Consider the following 12,379-nt stretch of genomic DNA (forward strand, 5'->3'; position numbering starts at 1 on the left):
CCTGAGACCTAAAGGTGACAAGGGCGCTGGGAAAGTTCGATCTGGGGTGGAAAACACTGAATTGAGGGTTCAATGAGAAGTAACAAAGGTAAAATACCACAGAAACCACCTAGGAACAAGCCAGGTGGACTTCCATGATTGCAAAGTTCATAAAATTACATGTTCCGAGAAGTGCCAGAGAGAGACAAAACTACTTTACCACATGCTTAATTTCAGGGAGAACTTGAAGAGATTCAAATTCTTTAACTTTTGCAGGATCTACATCTTCCTCTAGCTCCCACGTGCTTTCTTCATATGGTAGTGAGCACCACTTCACCAGGTAATGTGTTACCTCCTGGTGGGAAAACAGGAAAGAAACTTAATGTTCTATTAGGTTAAAGGAGTCAGTAGTATCTGCCAACCTCTGAAAAACCACCCTACGTGACTAGACAGGAATACCACTAAGACAAGGGTCACATGTTAAAACAAGTGAAATACGTGGAAAGAAGGGAAGATGCTTCAGGAGAGGCAAATACCCACCTCCCCTGTTTCTGCATCCTTGGTGTGGGCCACCTCCAAGATGCGATCAACTTCTACATAGTCTGGATTGAACAAGTCTTCATCAGGCTAACACAAACAGAGGAGAACAGTTAGGAAGTATGTCCCCTTGCCTCAAATCCAACACCTAGGGTGTTATCTCTAAGTGATCCCTACTCTAGGCCCTATCAACAAACACAAAAAGAAAGGGTTTGCTTAAGAATAAAAGTCACGGCATTTATTCACTGTCTCCAAATCCTGCTCTCCATGACTAAATTTAAAGGATCTAACCATCTTAGTGGCTACACCCTAGCCAGGTAATAATTCCCTGTTGGTCATTATAGCAATGTACAAAAATCAGCAGAAGGGTTCCCTTTTCCTTACTGGTCCTTATTTCAAACACAGCCCTTGGCAACTAGGAATTACAGTTTCTTTTTCTTAATAACAACAATAGTTAACACTGGCAGGGGGCATGAGGGAAGCTTCCTGGGTGCTGACAATGTTCTATTTGCTGATCTAGGTAGTAGTTACACAAATGTGTTTACATTGTAAAAATTCATTGAGATGTATACTTTTATCTTTATGCACACTATGCTTCAAAAAAAGTTTACTACAAAACAACAAGAAGCAACATATAGAAATACTTAAGGTATGTCCAGAGTAATGCTAAGTACTTTCATTTAAGCTCCAAAACTACCTTACGGAGTAGGTACTATAATTACCTTACAGATTAGGAAACTGACTCAGAGATATTAAGTAATGTGACCAAGTTGACGGAGCTATGTTAACTGGACCGTTCACCCAGGTCTTTCTTACCCAGAAGCTGAAGCCCTCCTCCAGGAGTGCTGAAGAGCTCTTACTGCCACTTAGGCTGCAAGGCACTTTTGGGGCTAATTTCATCGTCTAATCAATGCAGGATACTTTTTACAACATCCCTGGCAAGCCTCTCAGATTCAATTATTCCCAACTAAGAAATTTACTACCCTTCAAGACCTGATTCACTGTCGAAACAGCTTTATCTCTACCTCTTTAGGAGTAGCATCATGATCTTTATCATTAGTAAATTATAACTTAACTTCCTTCCTTATAACTGTTGCTCATTGGCATGAACTGCTTCCTTTACAGCAGCAATAAGAGGATTCTTTCCTCTCTCTTTAGGCTCTTCAGCAATCCCCTCCCTATCTGGGTTAAAAAAAAAAAACCCAGTTTGTTCAACAGTTCTTCATATACCGTTTCCATCTTAATGATACGAAAAGCTAATACTTATGGAGTAGTGCCTATGAGCTAAACACTGCTATAAACATTGTGTCCTTTATTATTCACAATAGTCAAGATTACGGAAACAAGCTAAGTGTCCATCAAGGGATGAATGGATAAAGAAAGTGGGGTGTATATACCTAGACAATAGAATATCATTCAGCTTTAAAAAAGAAAGAAATCCCATCATTTGCAACAACATGGATGAACCTGGAGGATGTTATACAAAGTAAAATAAGCCTGACACACAAAGACAAATATTGTATGATCTCACTTATATGTGGAATATAAAATAATCAAACTCATAGAAGCAGAGAGTAAATGGTGGTTGCCAGGGATGAAGGGGAGGGGAAATGGGGAAGACATTGGTCAAAGGGTATAAAATTTCAGTTACGCAGGATGAATAAGTTCTGGAGACCTAATGCATAGCATGGTGATGACAGTTAAACTACTGTATTATATATTTGAAATTTGCTAAGAGGATAAATCTTAAGTGTTCTCACCCTTAGGGGGGAAAAAAGAAAGAAAAAAAACCCCCTACTTATGTGAGGTGATGGATATGCTCACTAGCTTGACTATAGTGGTTATTTCACAATGTAAACATACGTTAAAACATCAAGTTGTACACCTTAAATATAATTTTTTGACAATTATACTCCAATAAAGCTTAAAACGGCAAGAAAACTATCATCTAATCCTTGCAGGTATTCTGTGAGGCTGATTCTATCAGGAGTCCTGCTTTTTCCTATGATACTGAGTTTGAAAGAGCTTATGCCATGGCCTGAGGCCACCCAGGTGTGTGTGAGGCTGGGCTGGGAGGGGCAGTTTGACTGCAGAGCCCAGGCTCTTACCATTGTGCAGTCCGCTCTCCACCTATGCCCCATTCCCACCATGACAGTCCTCTTGCAGCTGCCCTCAGGTTTTGCAAAGTCCCTCACTGAATCCTGGTACCCAAATGAACATAGCATTTAGGAATGAAAAGGGCATGGTACAGCAGGACTGTTCTATTGGTGCAGTCTAGGATTAGTAGGATTCGTTTACTTTTTAAACAGCCATGTCCTACTCTTGACACGCAGTAAATGTGTAGTTAATTGAACTGGCAATATGTTTTCTCCCTAGAACTGCTACCCAGTCATTTTCCTCATTTCAGAACCAGAAAGATTCCAAGAACAATGTAGGATATTACATTTATTCCTACATTTATTCATCCTACCCTGTCCAGGCAAACCCAGGCTGATCCTGACATTTATTCTCTCAGTATTGGATCTGGTTAGAACGTCTCCTGGGTGTTCAGGAGTTAGGATTTCATCAGGAGTCTATCTCTGCGCATGTGGGAAGTTGCAGGCTCTTGGAGCCTGAGTTTCCTCCACGTGTGCTTTAGCTACCTCATAAAGCAGCTGGAAATAATGGATACAAAGCTCTATTCAAAACTAAGTTACTATTTGTATCACAAAAATATTTACCCAAGTTACTAACAAATATGTTGAATAGGTCAAGACCAAAGGCAGTGTTGAACTACTCGTCAGTATTATTCCTCCTTAATTTCATGTGTTCCAATCTTCTCAAGAGCCTTTCCTTCCCACAAGAATATGAACTCTTGTTGCATTATTTCTATATATCCCAGCACAGTTTCCTCTATTCTCGGCCAAGGAAAAACCACTACTTTGGGAATAGATCAGAAAACAGACACAAAGGGCTGTGTAGGCTCTATTACAGGGTTTAGTCTTTATTCCAAGAATAACACATTAAGGTTAAGGTTTGTGGCATTTTCTGATATATAGCATTATAGATTTGTTTAATATTAAAATCCATCAGTCCTTCCTCTTGCTATAGGTACAATACTTAGAAATTCCCAAGTTTACATAAATAAAATTATTTATTTGTTTACTTTCTCTCACTTTTAGATTTGTTTTGTTTTTTACATTCAAACTTTAGGACCTTCTGAAATGTCCTTTTTGGGTTGCAGTGGGTTGAGGGAGCAGGGACAAAAGAATTGTGTGCGTATTCCTCTCACTCTAGCTATTTATTAGTATTCAGACCAAGATGCACGCCGTTATGAGTTGTCAGTTTATAAGGTTTGATCCTTAACTTTGGTGGATAGTTTTCTTTGACTTGAATCTAGACTAGTTTTGTTGCAAATCAGCACACATTTATCAATTTGACTTGAGCAACAGATCTGTATAGGAATTTAACTTGGACTTAGAAACGTAAACACAGTATTTACTGCTGCAAGAAAAGCAGCAGTCAAATGAGTCAGTAAATATTGCTTCACCTCCGTAAAAATGTGCTTCATCTGGGCTTGTTTATTCCTAAATCGCTTGATCTTCTGTGCGATGCGAGGATCCTTTTCGAGCTCTTCCATTGTGGCCCATTTACAATGTAAGTAGGAACTATCCAAAGACATACAAATTGTCAGGCAAGCACATAACTAGCAAATGATCGAGCTTTAAGGTGTTCAATAAACACGGTGACCACCTAACACAGAAATAGTAAAATGGTTTATTGTGAAACTGCTGGAGATTGGGCTTAGAAAGACCTTCCCCTTAAGGGCAACAACAGAAAACAAAACAAAACGGAGTAATTCCAAGCAACTGATCTCTCTGCAGCTTCTAGAGAAACTGGCTGAGAACAGAGGCAGGGCAGCTGTGGGCAGGTTATCATTAACACACATTAGTGAAAGTGGGTCTGTAGCAGAAAGGAAAATATACAAGAGGGGAAAAGAGCATATGCTACAGGAGAGTGGTTCTCTACCCTGGTTGCATATGAGAATTGCCCAAGGAGTTTTTAAAAACACAACAATCCTTGGGCCCCACTGAGTCTGAGCCAATGGTCTTGGGTGGAGCAAAGGCTTTAGAGGTTTAAAAAAGCTCTCCAGGTAATTCTGTGTGCAGCTATAATTGAGCGTTACTGCCTAAGGTAAACTTGAGTCAGCCAAGACCTGTGGGTCATGCCTTAGAGGCAAGACTCTGAAGATGTAGAAGATAATAAAGTCACAAGAGAAAAAAAGTTTTATTCATATAAAACCCAAATACAGAGAATACTTTAAATAGACGTACAAATTTCTATACTTAACGTAGAACAGCTCCAAGTCGAACGGAGGTTCTCCTGGGTGAACCTGTAACAAACAGCAAGCAGTTATCAGCCCAGATCCCAGGCAGATCACCCTTACTGAGCCAAAAGAAAACAGGTAATCAATATCTCTGCCTGATTTCCATAAAGATTTCTTAAGGCATATTTTCATTTTCCCAGGCCTTTTCCTGACACCTATTGGTCAGGTTTTCCAAAGGTGGAATACACAGCTGCAAGGTAAAAAACTGATCTTCCTGATGTCCTTCCAAGGTCTAGGCTGGGACGGCACTCAGCTGATAAACCCAAACTGGCCCAGGACAATGAGAAATGTCAGGACCAGAGCCTGGTGTGGAAGTGACTACATTCATCTCTGGCACCCCACTAACGCTTCACTTCTGAAACACCAATGGTAGTCACTCTCCAAGTAAGGAAGTTTACTTTCATAAATTCTTGAAGTAAAGATGAAGCCGTGCTCTCACCAGCACCAACATACTCTAGCACTCCAAGAATTTCCTATAGGAGATTCCTACAATGGCCCTGAGATGTCTGAAGAAAAAAACCCCCACGTTTCCATTAGGACTCATATGGGTGTGTATGTGTGTATGTATGTATGTATGTATGTATGTATGTATGTGTGTGTGTGTGTGTGTGTGTGTGTGTGTGTGTGTATTTTAAATAGAGAAAGGGTCTCACTATATTGCCCAGGTTGGTCTTGAACTACTGGGCTCAAGTGAACCTCCGATGTTGGCCTCTCAAAGTGATGGGATTATAGGTATGAGCCAATGAACCTGGCCTCTATTAGGACTTTTTGTCCATCTCTTCTTCTTGGCCCTCTGCTAAATTGTGGTGGGCTACAGCAACTAAGGGATATATGGCTTTTGCTAGGATCACAATGGAGGAAATCATCAGCTTGAGCCATTCTAGATATTTTAAGAGTTTTATGTCCTAAAATGCTCTACAGGGGTAAAAATAAGTGTTGGCTAGCCAGACAATATTCTTGCCTAGCTCTCACTCCAGCCAATAATGGTCATTCTAGGTTCTCTAGCCAAAAATCTCTTCACAGAAGATGTAATCTGTGCTAATGATATAAAAGCTAGAAACATGAGCCACCAACCTCCTGGACAGTCTTAGATGCCAGGATCTTCTCAATGATGTTTGCATCATCTTCTGGAGGCTCCTGGGGACAAAGATAAAAAAAAAAGAAAATTGCTGGAACCACAGAATCCAAGAAAACAATTCTGTAAGAAATACTACAATGGGTACTACTTCATTCAAAAGTTCACCTTTGAGTACCAAGGCCTCCCATCAGGCCACAGAGTGGTCAAAAGGTCACAAGCATTTTGCAAAGCTAGAATTTAAAGTGGTGGCTTCTAAGCTCTGGACACAACTCTACAAGAGCAGAGAAGTTTTTCAGATGCAATTTCAGATCTGCATTTAACATACCTAAAATTGGTCCTCAGATTTACCTTCTTTGCAAAACTACCTACATGTTGCTGCATACAATTTTCAGAAAGCTCTAAGAGTATGGGGTCTTAAAATTAGTTCTAATATCTACCAGCTATTGACTTTAGGCAAGTCAATTAATACCTCCTAGTCTCCAAATATATTAAAATAGGAGTTAAAAATACATATCTCACTGAATTAGTGGGAAGATAAAATAGTATTACTATTGGAAAAATGTTTTCACATACTATTCAAAATCAAGGTATAATTATTCTCTATTAAATTGTACCATCTTTCCCCTTTGTAGCTGGAAAAGGCTGTTTCACTGATCATCCTTTGAACGTAAATCCCAACTGAAAACCTAAATTCCTTTTTACCCTAGATAACCATCAACACTTCTATCCTCCAATCTCCATGAAATCTCTTTCTACAGAGTATTTATAGTTAAAAACACAAAATGTTTAACATTCTTTCTAGAACCTCAAGCAGCATTATTTCTCAGTGGTTCATATGCACAATGACCTTTTCAGATCTATTACAATATGAGACTTAAAACACCATATGAAAAGAACACTCATCACAACAATGAAACTGCCAAATTCGGTATTCTGGGTTCCTGGCTGGAACGTCCCAGAAGGATGATTTGTATATCTTCAGTCTACCCATTCTAGGGTGTAAAGCCATAAAATTATAGAAAATATCTCTTAAGATCTTAAATCAAGCTTTTCCCAGGAAAGTGATGATGGGTTAAAAGAAATGAGGAAGGCATATGGCAGAAAAGAATTATGGAAATCAGCAAGCAGGCACAGGCAGATGTTCCCAAAGGTTACAAATATTTACTAAGCTCTCTCAGACACATGGCATTGTGCTAGATGCCATACAGAAGTTAATCCAAAACCACACACGTCCCTTCTCACCACTCAACAGGAAGGCAAGTAAACTATAATTACCATACAATAGAAGAAAGGGGTGTGAATACAGACTATGCTTTTGTTTCTCTGTTTAAGTATTTGCTCTGCTTGGTTCCTAAATATAGATAGGTGGCAGGGAGAAGGTGGCAGTTCACTGTTTATTGCTGTCTTCTCCCTTTACTACATAAACCTTCAGAGGGCAGGGATCCTTGTTTTATATACCGACATAGCTAGACCAGGAAATGCATAATCAATAGGTATTTTTTGAATGCTAAATAACAAGCAAGAGGAAAAGAAAGAAGGAAATACAGTGAGGAAATAAAGGGTCAAACTCTCTGAGGCCACAGAGTAGAGACAGCTATTTTTCTTGATTTATGTCACTTAATTTAAGAAGTCTCCCCCATCTCCATACACTCAGACTTACATACTGTCAGGACGGTAACAGCAAAGGGCCAAAGCTAGGTGTGCATTAATGAGCAGCAAGGACCACTACCACTGATCTTGCAGCCAACTAACTAAAGTCTGACTATGGCGAGTGGGCAGTGAACAGGTGCTAGGTTAAGAGAAACTAGACTAATGAACCAGCTTCCTACCTCATTTCCTTCCTAAATTTTTATCCCACATTATTTATGGAGTGCTTTTAGTTTATGCACTGGCCTTACAGAAGTAAATGAGATATGTCTAGTCTTAATCATGAAGGAACTATCAGGCATGCTAACAAAATGCTTAGTTACTGAGGTATGGCATACTTGTAGTATGCAGAAATCTGAAGTGTACATCTTGACGAATTTTTACATACAGAAATGCACCTATATAACTACCACTCAAGATCAAGTTTATATAATTTTTCCAACACTCTGAAAAATCCTGTGCCCTCACTGTAAGTAACCAATATTCAGACTTCTACCACCGTAGACTGGTTTTGTGTATTATTAAACCTCATGTAAATGGAATCATACAGTATGTAGTTCATTCTTTTTTAACACTGTGAAGTATTTTGTAATATAAACTATCCACTCTACTGTTGAGGAATATTTGGTTTGCTTCCAATTTTTGTATTACACAAGAAATCCATATAAATTATGTCTTTTGGTGGAAAAATATGCTCATTTATCTTGGATATATAACTAGGAGAAGAAATACTGGGTTATGGGGTAGGTAGATGTCTAATTTTAATAAATATTGTCAATAAATAAATAAATAATATTGTCAAAAATTTTCTCAGTGATTGTAAAAATTTTGACACCTACCAGCAAGGTATGGGAGTTCTGGGTGACTTGATAATGTCAGTCTTTAGCATGTTAGCCATTCTGGTGGATGTGTAATGTTGTCTCTTTAATTCACATTTTCCTGATAACAGAGGATGCTGTGCCCCTTTTCATATGCTTACTGGACATTTGGATATCCTCTTTTGTGAACCTCCTATTCAAGTCATTTGCCTATTTTATAAATTGTTCTTTCTAATTTATTTTCAAGAATTATTTTAAATAAGAGTCCTCTCTCAGATACACAGATTACAAACATTTTCTACCAGTCTATGGTTTGCCTTTTCAATCCCTTAATGTGTCTTCTGAACAGAAATTCTATATAATCCATTTTATCAATCTTTTCTTTTATGAATAGTATTTTTGTGTGCTGTTTAAGAAATTTGTATTGCCACCAACATCATTAAGCTACATATGTAATTTAAAATTTTCTAGTAGCCACATTAAAAAAGTAAAACAGGTGCAAGTAATTTTAATATATTTCACTTAAACCAATATATCTAAATTATCAATATGTAATCAATTAAAAAATTAAAAAATATGTTAATAGTCATTTCATACCAAGTCTTCAAAATATGGTATTTTATATTTATAGCACATCTTAATTCAAACTAGCTACATTTCAAGTGCTCAATAGGCACATGTGGCTGATAGGGTCCATACTGGACAAGGTAGTTATATTTTGTTCAGCTGGTCTATTTGACTATCCTTATGGCAATACTACCCTGTCTTCACTCCTACAGCTTGATTACAAAGTCTTACAGTTAAATCTTCCAATTTAGTTCTTTTTCATGACTGTCTCAGGTTATGTTAGATAGGTCTTTAGCATTTTCATATGAATTTCCACCAATTAAAAAATGCCCTGCTTAGTTTTTGACTGGGTTTGAATTATAGACATCTTAGCAGTATTAAATAACCATATGTGGCTGGGCACGGTGGCTCATGCCTATTATCCCAGCACTTTGGGAGGTCGAGGCAGGTGGGTCACTTGAGGTCAGGAACTCGGGACCAGCCTGGCCAATACAGCGAAACCCTGTCTCTACTAAAAATACAAAAATTAGCGTGGCGTGGTGGTGCACGCCTATAGTCCCAGCTATTTGGGAGGCTGAGACAGGAGAATCACTTGAACCTGGGAGGTGGAGGTTGCAGTGAGCGAGACCATGCCACTGCACTCCAGCCTGGGCGACAGAGTGAGACTCCATCTCAAAAACAAAACAAAACAAAGCAAAGCAAAACAAAACAAAACCCATATGTGCTACATCTATTTGTTTAGGTCTTCTTTTTCATAGCTATGTTTTTAGCATAGACGGCTTGTGTATTTTTTGAGTTATTCCAGGGTATCTGATAGGTTGATGCTATTATAAATGGGATTTAATAATTATCCTTTCCTGATGTTATGTCGCTAGTTTATAGAAATAAAAAATACGTATTTGCATATTGTCTTTATGTATCCATATTGCATATTATCTTTATATATCCAGCAACTTAACTAAACCTACATTTATTATTTCTAATGATTTGTTAGTACATTCTGTTCAATTTTCTACATATGCAGTCACATCATCTACAACTAATAAAAAAGTTTTACTACTCCCTTTCTAATCTTTTAACTTTTTATTTATTCTTTCTCTTTATTGTAGTGGCCAGGTCCTACATTGTATTTCTGAGTACAAATTATGACAGTGAAATATTTTTCTTACTCTCAAATTCAGGAGAATGCATTCAATATTGTACTACTTAATACAATATTATCCACCAGATTTTCTCTTGTGGCTTTTAAATGTTCTCTCAGTCTTTGTTTATATAGTTTAAGATATGCCTAGGTATGGTTTTCTTTTTTGCATTTTTCCTGCTTTAGAGTTATCTGATTTTGAATCTACTGGTTGATATCTTCCATCAGTTTAGGAATTTTTGGTCATTAGTTATATCGTCAAATGCTACTCTGCTCCAATCTCCTCTATCCCTAGCACTCCAATCAGAAATACTTTGAACTTTCGGCTGGGTGCAGTGGCTCACGCCTGTAATCCCAACACTTTAGGAGGCCGAAGTGGGTGGATCAACTGAGGTCAGGAGTTTGAGACCAGCCTGGCCAACACGGTGAAGCCCCATCTCTACTAAAAATACAAAAATTAGCTGGGCATAGTGGCGCACACCTGTAATCACATCTACTTGGGAGGCTGAGGAAAGAGAATTGCTTGAGCCCAGGAGGCAGAGGTTGCAGTGAGCTGAGATTGCGCCACTGTACTCCAGCTTGGGTGATAGAGTGAGACTCTGTCTCAAAAAAAAAAAAAAAAAAAAAAAAAAAGAAATACATTACAACTTTTAACTGCATCGCACTTGTCTCTCTTTCTTATGCTTTTACCTTTTGCTCTGTTTGATTCATTCTTTTTCCTCTATGTGCTTCAGAAATTTTCCATTGATCTGTCTTCATAGTCACTCCTCTTCTGCTGCATCTAATCTACTTATAAACCTATCCACTTGGTCTTGAATTTTATAAACTGGATTTTTCATTCTACACTGCTATCTGATTTTCTTTATAGATGTAATTCTCTGTTGGAAGTCTTCATTTTAAAATTCATCTTGTCCATCTTTTCCTCTATTTTCTTTTTTTTTTTTTTTTTTTTTTTAGACAGGATCTCACTCTGTCACCCAGGCTGGAAAGTGCAGTGGAACGATCTCACCTCACTAAAACCTCCACTTCCCAGGCTCAAATGATTCTCCAGCCTCAGGCTTGCAAGTAGCTGGGACTACAGGCACAAGCCACCACACCCAGCTAATTTTTGTATTTTTTGTAGAGAAGGGGTTTTGCCATGTTGCCCAGGTTGGCCTCGAAATTCTAAGCTCAAAGCAATACTCCAGCCTTGGTCTCCAAAAGTGCTGGCATTATAGGCACGAGCCACTGTGCTGGCGCCCTCTATTTTCTTTAACATTTTAATCATAGTTATTTTAAAGTTCTTTCCTCCTGCCAACTCTAATATCTGGATCACCTAGGGTCTGCTTCTATTATATGATTATTCTCTTAATTTTTAGCCACCTTTTCCAGCCTCTTTGAATGTCTAATTTTTTTTATTTTATGTTGGACACTGTGGATAAACAAATTGTAGCAGCTCCAAACAATATTTTCTACTACAAGTATTTCCCATTTTCTCTTAGACAACCAGGGCGAGGGGGTGGTCCCTTTGATCCAGTCAGAGACTGAGTTGGGTCAGGACTGAGTTACTGTTTTAAGATTCAATCCACCTCTTATTTTACTGTTTTTGGAACATGAGTATCCAGGGTCACTGACTGAGAGATTGGCAGGTCTTTTTTCTCTTGAGCCCTGAAACATGCTCTATGGAGGTTTTGAGCTTAGTATTTTAGTCTTCTACCCCATGCAGGTTAAAAGTCCGACAAATATCTTAAGCAAGAGTCAGTATTTTGTGGTAGGTCCATTCCTTTAGTGATTTTTTTGTCTCGTAAGTACCACGCAACTATGAAATTTCAATCTGCCTTCTGTCTGAACTCCTAGCTTCCTGGGATACCCCAGAATTCAGCAGAAGTCTCTTGAGGAAATCCCCTTGCTTTGGGGATTTCTTTAGTTTCCAAACACTCCACGAGCCCTGTATATTCAATCCCCACCAGGGTCAGATGGTTTCTCTTCTATCCAGAACAGTCTCTTTTGTTTGGGCCAAACCTGATCCTCGGCCCACTCCCAGAACTGAGAAATGCCTCCAGAGAAGAAAACAGCCAGCCATCGTCAGCCCACCTCCGGATGACTCTTACTGTCTGATATTTTAGTTCATCTAATTCTTGTTGTTTCCATAGCTATTTGATGCCTTTAAAAAGAGCTTTTTGTAATTTATATATATATTTTTTCCAATATTAACTCTTATTACCGGAGCAGTCTAGGGCCTAGTTTTTGGATTTCTTCTCTTTTCT

At 38.5% G+C, this 12,379-nt stretch overlaps 1 protein-coding gene across 14 annotated transcripts in view; it reads right to left on the reverse strand.

Moving 5' to 3' along the window:
- The window catches only part of CHD6 (chromodomain helicase DNA binding protein 6), a 216,295-nt gene that overhangs the window by 91,256 nt on the left and 112,660 nt on the right, over window positions 1-12,379 (reverse strand). For all 14 annotated transcript variants that reach the window (NM_032221.5, XM_047440549.1, XM_047440545.1 and 11 more), the window contains 5 exons: window positions 5,957-6,019; window positions 4,830-4,888; window positions 4,046-4,163; window positions 520-606; window positions 200-334 (listed from right to left, as the gene is read on the reverse strand). In NM_032221.5, coding sequence (NP_115597.3) covers window positions 200-334; window positions 520-606; window positions 4,046-4,163; window positions 4,830-4,888; window positions 5,957-6,019 — 462 coding nt within the window. The remainder of the gene's footprint in view (window positions 1-199; window positions 335-519; window positions 607-4,045; window positions 4,164-4,829; window positions 4,889-5,956; window positions 6,020-12,379) is intronic.

This window comes from Homo sapiens, chromosome 20 (genome assembly GCF_000001405.40).
Source record: "Homo sapiens chromosome 20, GRCh38.p14 Primary Assembly".
In the NCBI taxonomy this organism is placed as follows: domain Eukaryota; kingdom Metazoa; phylum Chordata; class Mammalia; order Primates; family Hominidae; genus Homo; species Homo sapiens.